Genomic DNA, 18,049 nt, shown 5'->3' with positions numbered 1-18,049 from the left:
AGCTGGGATTACAGGCACACACCATCATGCCTGGCTGATTTTTCTATTTTTAGTAGAGAGATTTTTGCCACATTGGCCAGGCCGGTCTCGAACTCCTGTCCTCAAGTGATCTGCCTGCCTCAGCCTCCCAATGTGCTGGGATGACAGGCGTGAGCCATTGTGCCCAGCCAGGGATCTTTGACTTGTTCATGTCACATCCCCACTCCCAAAACTGCCAGGTATACAATACAATAGGAGCTCAGTAAATTACTGTCAAATAAGTTAACAAAGGGATAAATGTTACTCTCATTTTTGGATGTGAATCACAGAGATGCTCAATAATGTAGCCTTATGACAGAGTGAAGCTAACCTAGGTGTCCGGCAAAGCAGGACTGGCCCAAGAGGTTAGGGCCTTCCAGTGGAATACCATGCCACTGTGAAAGAGGCTGAGCCTGGTAAATAAGAGCCTCTTGATATGTTGTTAGAAAGAACAGCAGGCTGGGCATGGTGGCTCACGCCTGTAATCTCAACACTTTGGGAGGCCCAGGTGGGAGGGTTGCCTGAGACCAGGAATTTGAGACCAGCCTGGGCATCATAGCTAGACCCCATCTCTACAAAAAAAATTTTAAATTAGGTGGGCGTGGTGGTGCACACCTGTAGTCCCAGTGACTTAGGAGACTGAAGGCAGGAGGATTCCTTGAGCCCAGGAGGTCAAGGTTGCAATGAGTCATGATGGTGCCACACTGTACTCCAACCAGGGCGACACAGAGAAACCCTGTCTCTTAAAAAAAAAAAAAAAAAAAAAAAAAATTGGCTGGCCGCGGTGGCTCACGCCTGTAATCCCAGCACTTTGGGAGGCCAAGACGGGCGATCACGAGGTCAGGAGATCGAGACCATCCTAGCTAACACGGTGAAACCCCGTCTCTACTAAAAATACTAAAAAATTAGCCTGGTGTGTAGTAGCGGGCGCCTGTAGTCCCAGCTACTCGGGAGGCTGAGGCAGAAGAATGGTGTCAACCCGGGAGGTGGAGCTTGCAGTAAGCCAAGATCGCACCACTGGACTCCAGCCTGGGAGACAGAGCGAGACTCTGTCTCAAAAAAAAAAAAAAAAAAAAAAAAATGCAGGGTGGGGTGCAAGGCATCATGGCTCACACTTATAATCGCAGCACTTTGGGAGGCAGAGAGGGGTGGACTGCTTGAGGTCAGGAGTTCAAGGCCAGCCTGGGCAACATGATGAAACCTCATCTCTACAAAAAATATGAAAAAAAATTAGTCAGGTATGGTGCTGCACACCTGTAGTCCCAGCTACTCAGGAGGCTGAGATGGGAGGATCACTTGAGCCCAGGAGGTGGAGGTTGTAGTGAGCTGTGATCACACCACTGCACTCCAGTCTGGGAAACAGAGCGAGACCCTGTCTCAAAAACATTAAAACATTTTTGAAAAGGAAAAACAAAGGCCAGAATGGTATTAATGTAACCTGCTGTTGGCAGGGCATGGTGGCTCCAGCCTATAATACCAGAACTTTGGGAGGCCAGGGCAAGCAAGTCACTTGAGATCAGGAGTTCGAGACCAGCCTGGCCAACATGGTGAAACCCCGTTTCTACTGAAAATACAAATACTAGCCGGGCATGGTGGCGGCCACCTGTAATCCCAGCTACTTGGGAGGCTGAGGCAGGAGAATCACTTGAACCAGGGAGTGGGGGTTGCAGTGAGCCGAGATTGCACCACTGCACTCCAGCCTGGGCAACAGAGCGAGACTCCGTCTCAAAAACAAAACAAAACAAAACAAACCTGCCTTAAAAAGTGTGTGTGTGTGTGTGTGTGTGACAGAGAGAGAGAGAGAAACAGAGAGAGCGAGTGACAGAGATGCTTACACATGCACAGAACATCTCTTTGAAAGGAGGCCCAAAAATCCTAACCATGTTGCCTCTGGGAAGAGGACGTGGGTATAGGTGGCTGGGAGTTGGGGGAGGGAGGAGACTTGTCACTAGAAATCCTTGGTACCATCTGAGTTTTATACTTGAGCATGTGTTCCCTATTCCAAAAAAATCAAATAAATGCACACAATTTTTAAAGCCCAGAGAAAAGCTGTTTCCCAGGCTTGGCCCTCTCCCTATGCCTTCCCGGGAGCTGAAGAAGCAGCAGGCTGTCCCTTCTGTCCCTCCCCTGGGGCCAGTGTTCAGGGCAGGCTGAGGCCTCCCTGAGGGGGGAGCAGAGCTGCCTCAGGGCCTACCCCGGGCTCCCTGGAAATTACTTCCAGACTCACTCTCTCTTGGCTGAGGCTGGGGGAGGGGGAGATACACAAAGAAAGAGCAGGAGGAGGAGGGAAGAGAGGAATAGAGGGAGGAGGGAGGCAGAGACCCGTGGGTGCCGAGAGAGCACAGTGGAAGAGCAGCCCCGGGCAGAGAGGGGCTGGAAATGCCACCTTCCACCTGGCTAAAGAAACAGCCACCAAGCAGCTTCTGTAATAGCCAAAGGGGAATGGACCCAATGTCCATCCACGGATGAATGGATCAACAAAATCCGGTCCATCCATCCAGTGGAATATTATTCAGCCATAAAAAGGAATGAGGCATCGCCGCAGCAGCGGTGGACCTGGAAAACATGACGCAGAGAGAAAGACACCAGACACAAAAAGATCGGCTAGTGTACGATCATGTTTATGTGAATTACCCACAACAGGCAAATCCATGGAGACAGGAAGCGAAATAAAGGCTGCTGGGGCTGGGAGGAGCAGGGGATGGGGAGTGGCTTCGTAGTGGGTATGAGGTTTCCTTTTAGGGTGAGAAAAAATGTTCTCAAACTAGACAGAGATGACCGTTGCACAACTCTGTGGAGATACTAAAAACCACTGCATTGTACCCTTTACATGGCTGGATTTTATGATATGTGAATTATGTGTCTCAACAAGGCAGGAGAATCACTTGAACCCAGCAGGCAGAGGTTGTAGTGAGCTGAGATTGCACCAATGCACTCCAGCCTGAGCAACAGAGCAAGACTCTGTCTCAAAAAATAAAAACAGGCTGGGCGCAGTGGCTCACGCCTGTATTCCCAGCACTTTGGGAGGCTGAGGTGGGTGGATCACAAGGTCAAGAGACTGAGACCATCCTGGCTAACATGGTGAAACCCTGTCTCTACTAAAAATACAAAAAATTAGCCGGGTGTGGTGGCGGGCGCCTGTAGTCCCAGCTGCTTGGGAGGCTGAGGCAGGAGGATGGCGTGAACCCGGGAGGTGAAGCTTTCAGTGAGCCGAGATTGCACCACTGCACTCCAGCCTGGGTGACAGAGCGAGACTCCCTCCCAAAAATAAATAAATAAAATAAAATAAAATAAAATCAATGTAAAATAGATGGCATGTCAAAAATGAAGTGCTATGAAGAATAAGCAGTGAGAGAGACGCGCAAGGGAGTTGCAATTTTAAACAGGGTGATAAGAGCAGGCTTGACTAAGGAGGGGAAGGAGGGCCCCACAGCAGGAGAACAACAAGTTCAAAGGCCCTGGGGTAAGACTCATGCCTGCCTTGAAGGAAGAGGTTGGTGTGGCTGAAGTGAGTGAACGAAGAGGACTCAGTGGGAAGTGAGGTTACAGGGAGAAATTCAGAAGCCAGGTTGCATATTAAATACAGTAATACAGGCTGGGTGCAGTGGCTCATGCCTGTAATCCCAGCACTTTGGGAGGCCAAGATCGGAGGATCACCTGAGGTCAGGAATTCAAGTCCAGCCTGGCCAACATGGTGAAATACCATCTCTACTAAAAATAGAAAAATTAGCTGGGTGTGGTGGTGCACGCCTATAATCCTAGCCACTCAGGTGGTGGAGGCAGGAGAATCGCTGGAACCTGAGAGGCAGAGGTTGCACTGAGCTGAGATCACACCACTGAACTCCAGCCTGGGTGACAGAGACTCCATCTCAATAATATTAATAATACAGGCTGGGCGCAGTAGCTCACATCTGTAATCCCAGTACCACCTTGGGAGGCCCAGGCAGGAGGATCACTTGAGCTCAAGAGTTGGAGACCAACCTGGGCAACAAAGCAAGATCCCAAATCTACAGAAAAATTTTAAAGATTAGCTGGGCATGGTGGCACATGCCTGTAGTCCCAGATCCTCAGGAGGCTGAGGAGGAAGGATCACTTGAGCCCAGGAGGTCAAGGATGCAGTGAGCTATGATTATACCACTGCACTCCAGACTGGGCAACAGAGCAACGCTCTGTCTCAAAATAATAATACAGGTTGAGCATCCCTTAACCTGAAATAATTGGGACCAGAAGTGCTCCAGGTTTCAGATTTTGTAGGAGTTTTGAAATATTTGCATATACATAATGAGCTGTCTTGGGGATGGGAACTGAGTATAAACATAAAATTCATTTATGTTTCATATACACTTTATACACATAGTCTGAAGGTAATGTTATAAAATAATTTTAATAATTTTGCGCATGAAAAAGTTTGTGTACACTGAACCATCAGAAAGCAAAGGCTTCATGCTGGTGATCAAAAAGTTTCAGATTTTGGGGCATTTTGGATTTTTAGATTAGGGGATGCTCAACTTGTAGTTAAAAGGTGGAAACAATCCAAGTTTATCCATTTCAGCAGAAAAGTGGGTAAACAAACTGTGGTATATCTGCACAATGGAGTATTACCCAGCCTTAGAAAGGGATGAATTCTGATATGTGCTATAGCATGTATGAGCCTTTACTGTGTTAAATAAAATAAACCAGACACAAAGGGACAAATATCACATGATTCCACTTAGATGAGGTGCCTAGAGTAGGGAATTCAATGAGACAGAAAGCAGAAGAGTTTTGCAGGGGCTGGGGGCCAGGGAGAATGGAGAGTTATTGTTCAACAGGTATCGAGCTTCTGTTTGAAAAAAATCCTAGAAATAGAAACAGGTGCAGTGGCTCATGCCTGCAATCCCAGCACTTTGGGAGGCCAAGGCAGGTGGATAGCTTGAGCCCAGGAGTTCAAGACCAGCCTGGGCAACATAGTGAGACCCTGTCTCTACAAAAAGTAAAAAAAAAAAATTAGCCACATGTGGTGGCACGCTCCTGTAGTCCCGCCTACTTGATAGAGTGAGGTGGGAGGATCACTTGAGCCCAGGAGGCGGAGGTTGCAGTGAGCCAAGATCCAGCCACTGCACTCCAGCCTGGGCGACAGAGCCAGACCCGGTCTCAAAAAAAAAAAAAAAATCCTAGAAATGGACAGTAGTGATGATTGTACAACATTATGAAGGTACTTAGTGCCACCAAACTGTATACTTAAAAATGGTTCAATTTTATGTTATGTATATTGTACCACAATAAAATTATAATAACAGCAGCTAACATTTATGTTGCTTTTGATGTATCAGGCATTATTCTAAAAGCTTTACGTATGTGGCCAGGAGCGGTGGCTCACGCCTGTAATCCCAGCACTTTGGGAGGCCAAGGCGGGCGGATAACGAGGTCAGGAGATCGAGACCATCTTGGCTAACACAGTGAAACCCCATCTCTACTAAAAATACAAAAAATTAACCAGGCATGGTGGCGGGTGCCTGCAGTCCCAGCTACTCAGGAGGCTGAGGGAGGAGAATGGCGTAAACCCGGGAAGCAGAGCTTGCAGTGAGCCGAGATCGCGCCACTGCACTCCAGCCTGGGTGACAGAGCGAGACTCTGTCTCCAAAAAAAAAAAAAAAAAAAAAAATTTAATTTTAAGAGAGAGAAGAGAGTTGAGGATGGCACCAAAGTATCTGGCCCAGGTGGGTGGGAGCTCGGAGCTGCCATTTACTGAGATGGTGCCGTTTACTGAGATGGAGAGAAGCAGGCTTTGTTTGTTTTGGTTTTTATGGGTTTCTTCCTGGGGAGGAGAACCGTATCAGGAGCATGGTATTGAACACATTAAGTCTGAGGTGTCTCTCGACAACCTAGTGAGTTTCGCAAAGTGGTACAGGCTGCAGACAGCGTGCCAGTGATCAAGGGGGAGAGAAAGTGAGTGAAACCCCTTCTGGCGCACTCTTTCTGAATTCCTTCCTCTACCTGGCCACTTTCAAGGCTCGGCCTCCTTCCTGGTTCCCACCAAAGTGGGCACAGCCAACATGGCCTCCTCCTGGTCCCACAAGGCAGATCCCATGTCGAGGGCAGGCCCGAGTTAGTCCATGATGTCTTTCCCCCTTCCTCCCTCATCCCAGCCATGGCCTCGCTCTGGGCTCCAGGCTCTGAGCCTTCAGAGAATGGGTTCCAGAAGCCGCACTGCCCACTCCTCCCGCCCACCCTGCAGAGCCCGTCAAGGCCTGACGCCACTGCTCATTCTCACTCGTCTGGCAAGGACTGGAGAGCTGAGTGGTAAATACAATAAAACACAAGGCTGGGAGATGCCAAACGGTGTGTGCAGTATGCAGCCTGGGATGTATGAAGAGGGGGAAACGGAATTTACATTCACATGGCTCCACGATCTTTTAGTGGAAACCTCTGGAGTGAGACGTGTTCTGAAATGAGGGGTTTTTCAGGCTTTGGAGGGGGACAGGGTGAACGCACAGAACGCCCCTCGGCGGGTTCTGAGACACCCAGCAATCCATTCTTAATATTTCTGAGCTAAACATATGAATATTCAGATGGAGCTCAATAAAGACGGGTTATAAATAGCCTGGCTTCAGGTCAGGGCTTGTCACCCGATGACTCACTACAGGTGAGGTACCATTAGCATGATTAATACCATTGGTGGTGTTTTCATATCATGTCTTGTTCACTGTCCATTATAACAGGAGAAGAGACTTTGCTCCCTAAACCTGGAAGCTCTCCAGAAATGGGGAAACCCTGGGTCAGAGGAACCTGGCTTCCCATCTCTACTCTATTATTTCCTGACCCTGAGCAACTGCCCCACACCTCTGGGGCTTTAGTCCTAGAGGAAGACTAAGGGTCTGGCTGTTGCCTATTAGGCCTTAAATTTAAAATAATGACTGGCCAGGAAAGGTGGCTCACGTCTGTAATTACAGTACTTTGGGAGGCTGAGGGGAGGAATACTGGAGCCCAGAGTTCAAGACCAGCCTGGAAAACATAGGGAGATCCCATCTTGGAAAAATACGCCGGGGCATTGTGGCTTAGGTCTGTGATCCCAGCACTTTGGGAGGCCAAGGCAGGCGGATCACTTGAGGTCAGGAGCTCAAGACCAGCCTGACCAACATGGTGAAACCCCGTCTCTACTAAAAATAAAAAAATTAGTCGGGCGTGGTGGCGGGCACCTATAATCCCAGCTACTTGGAGGCTGAGGCAGGAAAACTGCTTGAATTTTAGAGGTGGAGGTTGCAGTGAGCTGAGATCGCACCACCACACTCCGGCCTGGGTGACAGAGTGAGACTGTCTCAAAAAAAAAAAAAAAAAAAAGAAATAAAATCAAATAAAATTAATGACAGCAACAAAATGACAGCAATATTAATAAGAGCCGCTAAGCTTTATCAACCCTTACTGTGGTTCAGGATGGATACTGAACTCTTTGGTGCTATCATCTCACTGAGCCGAACCCTTGCACCACTTCGGGAGGCAGACTCTGCTGTCATTTAACCTCGTCTAACAGAGAACTTGCCTGAGAAGGAGACAGCTGGGGATCCGAGCCCAAGTTCTTCTGACACAGGCCTTAAACACTGTCCAAAACTTGAGTCACGCCTTTCCCTAGGCTGGGTGGGCCTGTGCCTGAAGGTGGTCCCCTCCCACCGTGCTGATCATTTGGTCAAATGACAACCCGGATCCTTAAGTTCTGACTGTGTGCTCTCTGCTCTCTCACTGAATCCTCCCAAACAAGTCCCATGAGGGCGGTACTATTATTTGACCCCTCAACTGCACCCCAACATGGCACACAGTGATGGGAGCCCACACGTGCGGTTCCCAGTCCAATACACTCCACCTCCTGGTCACGCTCCCTGCGGTGGGACCATCGGATGCAGCCAGCTCTCCCATCACCTGGGATGTGCCAGGCCGCCTTCAGCCACCCACAATCATCTCTTGCTTCTCCTTTTTATGGCCTCTCTGAAATCCTCACCTTTTCTTGAGATCGGAGGTAGGACTCGAGGACTGAGAATTAGGAAGCAGCCAGCCCCAGGCTGACTCCTGCCAAGGTCCCCAGAGTCCGGCACAGGCCTGGCATGGAACAGCCACTCAAAAGCTCCGGCTGCTGTTTGCCAGCAGTGAAAATGGTGAAGCCTTTCTGGAATGCAACTTGGCGGGGCCACCAAAGTCTAAATGCTCGCTCCCTTTTGCCTCAGCAATTCCTTTTCCAGGAATCTGGCCGGTGGAAACACTCTTGCATAAGCAACCCAAGGTATGGATATAAAAATGTCAGGTCGGGTCACTCCCCAGCTCAAAGCCCTCCCATGGCTCCCATCTCACTCAGATTCAAAGCCAAAGTCCTAGTCAAAGACAGAGAATGGAAACTCTAGAGCAATAAAGAGGTAGCGCTACCAGGCTAAAAGCGGAGATAAAATGGAACACTAAAATATTCCATTTAAAAGAAGCAGGGAAAGGCCGGGCGCAGTAGCTCATGCCTCTAATCCCAGCACTTTGGGAGGGTGAAGCGGGTGGATCACCTGAGGTCACGACTTTGAGACCAGCCTGGCCAATATGGCGAAACCCCGTCTCTACTAAGCATACAAAAATTAGCCAGGCGTGGTAGTGTGCACCTGTAGTCCCAGCTACTTGGGAGGCTGAGTCAGGAGAATTGCTTGAACCCAAGAGGCAGAGGCTGCCATGAGCCGGGATCATACCACTGCCCTCCAGCCATACCAATAATTATAATAAACATAAATCGGCCGAGTGCGGTGGCTCACATCTGTAATCCCGGAACTTTGGGAGGCCAAGGCAAAAAGATCACTTGAGGCCAGGAGTTTGAGACCAACCTGGGCAACATAGTGAGTTCCTGCCTCTACAAAAAATTTTTAAAATTAGGCTGGATGTGGTGGCTCATGCCTATAATCCCAGATCTTTGGGAGGCTGAGGAGGGCAGATCACCTGAGGTCAGGAGTTCGAGACCAGCCTGACCAATATGGTGAAACCCTGTCTTTACTAAAAATACAAAAATTAGCCGGGTGTGGTGGCGTGCGCCTGTAATCCCAGCTACTGAGAAGGCTGAGGCAGGAGCATTGCTTGAACCCAGGAGGCGGAGGTTGCAGTGAGCCAAGATTGCGCCACTGCACTCCAGCCTGGGTGACAGAGTATGACTCAGTCTCAAAAAAATAAAATAAAATAAAAAATTAGCCAGATGGGGTGGTGCACATCTGTAGTCCCAGCTATCAGGAGGCTGAGGTGAAAGAATCGCTTGAACCCAGGAGTTCAACGTTACAGTAAGCCTTGATGACTGCACTCCAGAATGGGCAAAAGAGTCAGACTCTGTCTCAAAAAAAACCCCAAAAACATAAATCAACTAAACTTGTGCTTTCCACTATGAGCAGCTTCACGTGACATTTGAGCACTTGAAATATGTCGAGTCCCAACTGAGATGTGCTGTGAGTGTAAAATACACACCAGATTTTGAAAACTTCGTGTGGGGAAAAAAAATAAAAGACTACAACAAGTGTTGGCAAGGATGTGGAGAAACTGGAACCACGTGCACTGCAGGTGGAAATGTGAAATGATGTAGCCACTGCTCCTCCAAAAGTTAGAACAGATCATTACCATACAACCCAGCAATTCCACTCCTAGATATAAACCCAAACAAACTGAAGGCAAAAAGTCAAACAGATACTTAGAGCCTATGTTCACAGCAACGTCGTTCACAATAGCAAAAAGGGGACATGACCCAAGTGTCCATCGATGGCAGAATAGGTAAACCAAATGTGGTCTATCCATCCAATGGAAGATGAACTTAGCCACAAAAAAAGAAAAGAATTCTGATACATGCTACAACAGGGATGAACCATGAAGACATGTAAAGTGAAATCAACACAAAAGGACAAATACTGGATGATTCCATTTACATGAGGTACCTAGAATTAGCCAATATAGGCCGGGCGCAGTGGCTCACACCTGTAATCCCAGCACTTTGGGAGGCCGAAGCGGGCAGATCACGAGGTCAGGAGATGGAGACCATCCTGGCTAACAAAGTGAAACCCCGTCTCTACTAAAAAAAAAACAAAAAGCAAAAAAAATTAGCCAGGCGTGGTGGCGGACGCCTATAGTCCCAGCTACTCAGAAGGCTGAGGCAGGAGAATGGCGTGAACCCAGGAGGCGGAGCTTGCAGTGAGCCGAGATTGCGCCACTGCACTCCAGCCTAGGCGACAGAGTGAGACTCCATCTCAAAAAAAAAAAAAAAAAAAGAATTGGCCAATATATAGAGAGTAGAATAGAGGTAACGAGGTGCTGAGGGAAGGGAGGATAGAGAGTTACTCTTTAATAGGTACAGAGTTTCTATTTGGAATGATGAAAAGGTTCTGGTAATGGATAATGGTGACAGTTACACAATATTAAAGTACTTAATGCCACTGAATTATACACTTAAAAAGAGCTAAAATGGGTGGCCGGGCGCCGTGGCTCATGCCTGTAATCCCAGCATTTTGAGAAGAGGCCACAGCGGGTGGATCACCTGAGGTCAGGAGTTAGAGACCACGCTGGCCAACATGGCGAAACCCCATCTCTATTAAAAATACAAAAATTAGCTGGGTATGGTGGTGGGTGCCTGTAATCCCAGCTACTCAGGAAGCTGAGGCAGAGGAATCACTTGAACCTGCGAGGCAGGGGTTGCAGTGAGTCGAGATCGCACCACTGTACTCCAGCCTGGGCGACAGAGCGAGACTCCGTCTCAAAAAAAACCACACAAAAAAAATAGATATTTGCACACTCATGTTCAAAGCAGCATTATTCGCAATAGCCAAGAGGAGTAAGCAACTCATGTGTTCATCGACAGATAAATGGATAGGCAAAATGTGGTCTATTCATGCAACGGAATATTATTCAACCTTAAAGAGGAGAGAAATCCTGTCACATGCCACACCACGAATAAGCCTTCAGGACAATACAATAAGTGAAATAAGCCAGTGACAGTATGACAAATACTACAGGAGTCCACTTAAATTTGGCACTTAAAGTCAAATTCATAGAGACAGAAAGTTGAATGGAGGCTACTAGGGACTGGGGATGGGGGGAGTTGTTGAATGCATATAAAGTTTCAGTTGGACGCCGGGTGTGGTGGCTCACGCCTGTAATCCCAGCACTTTGGGAGGCCGAGGCGGGTGGATCATGAGGTCAGGAGATTGAGACTATCCTGGCTAACACGGTGAAACCCCGTCTCTACTAAAAACACAAAAAAAATTAGCCGGGCGTGGTGGTGGGCACCTGTAGTCTCAGCTACTTGGGAGGCTGAGGCAGGAGAATGGTTTGAACCCGGGAAGCGGAGCTTGCAGTGAGCCGAGATTGTGCCACTGCACTCCAGCCTGGGCAACACAGCGAGACTGCATCTCAAAAAAATAAATAAATAAAGTTTCAGTTGGGCAAGATGAAAAAGCTCTGGAGATCTGTTACATAATAAAAGTACATTTAACACTACTGAACTGCACATTTAAAAATGATTAAGGCCAGGTGCGGTGGCTCACACCTGTAATCCCAGTACTTTGGGAGGCCGAGGCAGGAGGATCACTTGAGCCCAGGAGTTTGAGACCAGCCTGGGCAACATGGCAAAACCCTGTGTCTACAAAAAAAAATACAAAAATTAGCTGGGTGTGGTGGCATGTGCCTGTAGCCCCAGCTACTCAGGAGGCTGAGGTGGAAGGATCACCTGAACCCAGGATGTTGAGACTGCAATGAACTATGATCATGCCACTGCACTCCAGCCTGGACAACAGAGAGAGACCATGAGCCCCAAACTCCCCACAGAGGTCACCTTTGGAAAAGGAAAGAAGAGGAGATGGTGCAAAGACTTTCGTCGTGTTATATGACTTTTTTCCATATGTAATGATTAACACAGACCTGGCTGCAAATTGGCAAACCCCAAAGCTAAGAGCTAAGGAATCTTATTTTGACCCTGGCATCCAATGCCTCCCCTCCATTTGCAGAATCCTTGAAAGTAACTCAGAAACACCTGGAAAACCACTGGACACCTTACTACTCAGAGGGCAGGCCCCTGACCACAGCAGCCTCACCTGGGAGTTAAGAAATGCAAAGTGTCTGCACCAGCTGACTCAGAACTCACGTGGTAACAGGATCCCCCAGGAACTGGTGTGCAAGTCTAGAAAACTGTGGATCTGCATCACAGCCCAATGTGTCTGCACCAGCCCATACAGACCGAAGAGGGGTTAGTAATAATAATAGCAACAACAGTCAATAGTAATAGCAACCAGCAATGACAAAGTCCTTGTCATGTTGTCATGTGCCAGTCACTCCACAACATATCATCCCAATTAAACCCCACACCCTGGCCCGGCGCGGTGGCTCACACCTGTAATCCCACCACTTCGAGGAGCTGACATGAGTGGATCACGAGGTCAGGGGTTCGAGACCAGCCTGGCCAACATGAAGAAATCCCGTCTCTACTAAAAATACAGAAATTAGCCAGACATAGTGGCATGCGCCTGTAATCCCAGCTACTTGGGAGGCTGAGGCAGAAGAATCGCTTGAACCCGGGAGGTGGAGGTTGCAGTGAGCCGAGATCGTGCCACTGCACTCCAGCCTGGGCAACAGAGCAAGACTCTGTCTCAAAAAACAAAACAAAACAAAACAAACAAACAAAAAACCCACTCATCCTACTCGGTAGGCATTTTAGGTCTGTGGCCCCCTAATCTGCAATTCCAACCTCCAAAAATCTCTAAAGCCATCCTTTTCTTTTTTCCTGGCTCATTGTGGGGCAAAGTGGAACTGCAATGGCTGTCCTTAGATCTCCCTCTTAGTATCAACAGCAGCAGATATATTTGCTGCAGAAATCTTCGCAGAAGTGCTAGCATATGTGCTGACGGGGAGCTGCCTGCCTTGCTGGGGGGTCCCACATCATCCTGTGTGCACTCTGGTCTGAAACGGCCTGAATTTTGAAACACCTACAAGGTCAGTTATTGCCATAAATGCAGCATTTCCGTTGACCTATGAATGTCATCTATTTAACCTCCAAGGAGGAAGTAGGCCTCTCTAGCTGATTAGGGAAACTGAGGCTGAACAAGGTAGGGGCCTTGTTCCAGTGCCACAGTTGGCTCTAGACCTACACCACACCCCCCAAATCCTGACTCCAGCTGGTCACCCATGTCTCTAGCTCAGGAACATATTGCTCTCTGAAAGAAGCTGAGGTGGCCATGATTATGTTAAAGAAGACATCAGGAAGCGTAAAAGGAGAAAGAGAGGCTGTGCCTCAGCCTGCAATGGCTCAGCAGCAACCCAGGCTGGCTCTTGGGGCAAGAGGAAAGGAGCTTCCCAGCTGTGGTCTTGGCCCCTGTACCAAGGGGGCAGCGAGGCTTGATGAATAAAAACCCAGGGTGGACCAAGCGCGGTGGCTCACGCCTGTAATCCCAGCACTCTGGGAGGCCAAGACGGGCGGATCACTTGAGGACAGGAGTTCAAGACGAGCCTGACTGACATGGTGAAACCCCATCTCTACTAAAAATACAAAAATTAGCTGGGTGTGGTGGTGGGCGCCTGTAATCCCAGCTGCTCCAGAGGCTGAGGCAGGAGAGTTGCTTGAACCCGGGAGGTGGAGGTTGCAGTGAGCTGAGATCACGCCATTGCACTCCAGCCTAGGTGACCGAGCGAGACTCTGTCTCAGAAAAAAAAAAAAAAAAAAAACCCAGGATGCAGCTGGACGTGGTAGCTCATGCCTGTAATCTCACTGCTTTGGGAGGCCAAGGCAGGCAGATCACCTGAGCCCAGGAGTTCAAGACCACCCTGGGCAACATGGCAAGACCCTGTCTCTAAAAAAAAAAAAAAAAAAACCAAAAAATTAGCGGGCCATGGTGGCACATGACTGTAGTCCCAGCTACTTGGGCGGCTGAGGAAGGAAGATTGCTTGAGCCTGGGAGATCGAGAGGTCGGGGCTGCAGCAAGCCAAGATCACACTACTGCACTCCAGCCTGGGAGACAGAGTCTCACTCTGTCTCCAAAACAAAACAAAACAGAAACAGGCTCCATCCAGGAAGCAGACCATCCAGGGAAGAGAGTGGGGGCTCTGCCACTTAGCAGCTGTCGGGCTCTGGGCAAGTCACTTAATCGCTCTGTGCCTCAGTTTACTCGTGTAAAATCGGGGTGCTCCCTGCACCTACCTCCTCCAGTCCTTCTGTGAGTGAAGGAGCTGATGCTTGTAAGTGGCCTAGACCAGAACCAAGCTGGGGCGAGCCAAGGTAAGTGCTGGCTGTGATTATCATGGTTATTGCCATCACGATCCGTGAACAGCTCTTAACTGGCTCCCCACCCCTCCTGAACCCCTTTGCCAAACTTTGGGATACAGAGTCAAGTGTGTGTTTCTCTGGGGAAAAGTCTGTGGCCTCTAAGCAGATTCCTAAAAGGACTGGAGCTCCCTCTTACCCCAAATTAAGAACCACCATTTGCTCATAAGACCCAGGGGCCAAGAAACAAAAGGCGCCTCTCCATGTCGAGCAAGGCAGCTGCCAGAGCTCTCCCTAACTACCAGCTCCCCGTGCCCCCGGCCCCCACACAGCCCCACGGCCTCCCTCTCCTCCTGTGTCTCTCAGCCCATCCATGCTGGCCTCCTGAACGCTTTCCCAATTGTACACACAACCTCTGCCTTCACACCCTCTCCACTTCGCAAACTGTGAGCAAACTTCACTTCTGAGCCCAACCCAGTACCACCTCCTCCAGGCTCTTCCAGAACCTTCCCTCACCTTCTTTCCTTTTCTCTCCTAAGCCTCCAACTCAGCTCAGAAACTCAAAAACCCAATCCAAACCCAACCCAATCTCCTCACGATCTGTATAAAGGTCACCTGGCCCCTCAATCATTCAGTATCAGTTAGGGGTTTATTCAGTCCTTGTCAGACCCTGAGGATGTCACCTAACATGGAAATAAGCTCAGTGAAGTGAAGGAAATTGGACGAGAAAGTCAAAGAGGGCTTCCCCGAGGAGGGAGCATTTAAGCAGAGACCTGCGAGATGTGGCCCCAAAAGAGTTGGAGGCCACAGTGAACCACAATCACGCCACCGCAATCCAGCCTGGGCACCAGTGAGACCCTGTCTCTTAAAAAAAAAAAAAAAAGGCCAGGTTGGTGGCTCACACCTGTAATCTCAACACTTTGGGAGGCTGAGGAGGGCAAATCACTGGAGGTCAGGAGTTCGAGACCAGCCTGGCCAACATGGTGAAACCCTATCTCTACTAAAAATACAAAAATTAGCTGGGCGTGGTGGCTCACGCCTGTAATCCCAGCTACTCAGGAGGCTGAGGCAGGAGAACTACTTGAACCCAGGAGGTGGAGGTTGCAGTGAGCTGAGATCACGTCACTGCACTTCACCCTGGGCAACAGAGTGAGACTCTGTCTCAAAAAAAAAAAAAAAAAAAAAAAAAGCCAGGTGCAGTGGCTCATGTCTGTAATCCCAGCACTGTGGGAGACTGAGTCAGGAGGATCACTTGAGCCCGGGAGTTCAAGGCCAGCCTGGGCAACATAGTGAAACCTCATCTCTGCAAAAACTTAAAAAATCAGCCAGGTATGGTGGCACATGCCTGCGGTCCCAACTACTCGGGTAGCTGAGGTTGGAGGAACGCTTGAGCCTGGGAGGTCAAGACAGGAGTGAGTATGATCACACCACTGCATTCCAGCCTGGGCGACAGAATGAGACCCTATCTTCCAAAGAAAAAAAAAAAAGTCAGGGCGTGGCAGTGGGAGGTACAGGCATAACTTGTTACTACACTTCAAAGACACAGCATTTTTTTACGAACTGAAGGTTTCTGGCAACCCTTTGTCCAGTGAGTCTATCTGCATCATTTTCCCAGTCACAAGCTCACTTCATGTCAGTATCAGCATATTTTAGCAATAAAGCAATTTTTAATTAAGGTATGTACACTGGTTTTTTTAGACATGATGTTATTGCACACTTAACAGATTGCAGTATCGTATAAACGTAACTTTTGTATCCACTGGAGAATCAAAAAACGTGTGTGGCTCGCTCTATTGTGATACTCACTTTACTGCACTGTCTAGAACCTAACCTGCCTGCTCTCTGGGGTATGCTTGTAGCAGGGGAAGATGACTCTGGGCAGAGTACAGTGCAGGCCGAGGTGGGGAGGCGGGAACCAGCTTGGTGAGTGAAAGGCAAGATGAAAAGGGTAGGAGATAAGCCAGGCCAGATCAGAAAGACTTTGTACGGAGCTGAAGAGGTTTTACCTGAGGGCACTAGGGAGTCACAATCTGCCGGGCATGTTGGCTCACGCCTGTAATCCCAGCACTTTGGGAGGCAGAGGTGGGCGGATCATCTGAGGTCGGGAGTTCAAGACCAGCCTGGCCAACATGGAGAAACCCCGACGCTACTAAAAACACAAAATTAGCCGGGCGCGGTGGTGCGTGCCTGTAATCCCAGCTACTCGGGGAGCTGAGGCACGAGAATCTCTTGAACGCCGAAGGCAGAGGTTGCGGTGAGCCAAGATCGCGCCACTGCACTCCAGCCTGGGCAACAAGAACTAAACTCGGTCTCAGTCTCAAAAAAAAAAAAAAAAGAGAGAGAGAGAAAGAACACTTCCTTCCACCCAGCTGCTCAGGGCAATGACCTTGGATCATGCTAGATTCCCTGTTTTTCTTACCCTACCCCCAAGCCCCAAAGCCTGCCCTAGAAGCTCCCTCCTCCAGGAAGCCTACCCTGATGCCTCCCCGCCTGACCTCCCCAGGCTCAGCTGGCAATCCTCAGACACTGATCTGGCTTTGCAGGGGAATGGGTGTGTTCCTGCCTCATCGCTCTCCCCAGTCCCTGAAGGCACAGCACCGGCTATTTGTGCTGGAGGTGAGAACATGGGCCACAGTCCAAGCAGTAGGAAGCCTGAGTGTGAGTCTGAATTAACCAGGAGGACGAAAATCCCAGCTCAGGCAGCAGCTCCCTGTGTGACCTTGGGAAGTCATTTTACCTCTGTGCCTCTGTGACAGGGAGATGGTGAACACCTGGGGGTCTGACCCTCATGAGGATTTGAAGTGAACTGTACTACCTGCAGCCCATGGAGCGCACAGCAGGGAGGAGCAGCAGGGAGGGACAGGTAACCAACAAGGCGACCCTCTAAACACAGCACTGGGAGGAAAAGCAGCAGGAGGAGAAACAGAAGCAGTATCCTTTCTGTAAAGCAAAAATCCATCGCACAAAGCAAGCAATTCACTCCAGCACAGGAGGTCGCTGACGGGGAGGGGAATGAAAATAAAAGGGAATTTTATAAATAGGAGTATATATTTTTATATATAATAATGTATAGTTTTATATTTCTATTATGTATTATGTAATGTCTAATATATGAGAGTACACACACACACACTTTTTTTTTTTTGAGATGGCCTCTCGTTCTGTCACCCAGGCTGGAGTGCAGTGGCACTATCTCGGCTCATTGCAACCTCCGCCTCCTGGGCTCAAACAATTCTCTGCCTCAGCCTCCTGAGTAGCTAGGATTACAGGTGCCTGCCACCATGCCCAGCTAATTTTTGTATTTTTAGTAGAGATGGGGCTTCACCATGTTGCCCAGGCTGGTCTTGAACTCCTGACCTCGTGATCCACCCACCTTGGGCTCCCAAAGTGCTAGGATTACAGGCATGAGCCACCGCACCCGGCCCACTCCTAAATTTTTTTTTTTTTTTTTTTTTTTTGAGACAGAGTCTCACTCTGTCACCCAGGCTGGAGTGCAGTGGCACAATCTCGGCTCACTGCAAGCTCCGCCTCCCGGGTTCACACCATTCTCCTGCCTCAGTCTCCCGAGTAGCTGGGACTACAGGCGCCAGCCACTACGTCCAGCTAATTTTTTGTATTTTTAGTAGAGACAGGGTTTCACCGCATTAGCCAGGATGGTCTCGATCTCCTGACCTCGTGATCTGCCCGCCTCAGCCTCCCAAAGTGCTGGGATTACAGGCGTGAGCCACCACGCCCGGCCCACTCCTACATATTTTTAAGCAGACTTTTGTTAGAAACCAAGTTACACTCAGGCGTGGTGGCTCATGCCTGTA

At 49.1% G+C, this 18,049-nt stretch overlaps 1 protein-coding gene across 2 annotated transcripts in view, besides 2 other annotated features; it reads right to left on the bottom strand.

The window, feature by feature from the left end:
* The window catches only part of BICRA (BRD4 interacting chromatin remodeling complex associated protein), a 95,082-nt gene that overhangs the window by 62,859 nt on the left and 14,174 nt on the right, over nucleotides 1-18,049 (bottom strand). The gene's annotated exons all lie outside the window — the stretch shown is intronic.
* Nucleotides 7,199-7,842: an enhancer, noted in NCBI's record as "H3K4me1 hESC enhancer chr19:48135834-48136477 (GRCh37/hg19 assembly coordinates)". NCBI's record gives its function as "activates a minimal SCP1, AML or CMV promoter by ChIP-STARR-seq in primed H9 embryonic stem cells {active_cell/tissue: H9 hESC(primed)}" and the evidence as "EXISTENCE:reporter gene assay evidence [ECO:0000049][PMID:30033119]".
* Nucleotides 12,953-13,527: an enhancer, noted in NCBI's record as "H3K27ac-H3K4me1 hESC enhancer chr19:48130149-48130723 (GRCh37/hg19 assembly coordinates)". NCBI's record gives its function as "activates a minimal SCP1, AML or CMV promoter by ChIP-STARR-seq in naive H9 embryonic stem cells {active_cell/tissue: H9 hESC(naive)}" and the evidence as "EXISTENCE:reporter gene assay evidence [ECO:0000049][PMID:30033119]".

Source organism: Homo sapiens, chromosome 19 (genome assembly GCF_000001405.40).
Source record: "Homo sapiens chromosome 19, GRCh38.p14 Primary Assembly".
In the NCBI taxonomy this organism is placed as follows: Eukaryota; Metazoa; Chordata; class Mammalia; order Primates; family Hominidae; genus Homo; species Homo sapiens.
This window is presented reverse-complemented; position numbering and strand designations above follow the sequence as displayed.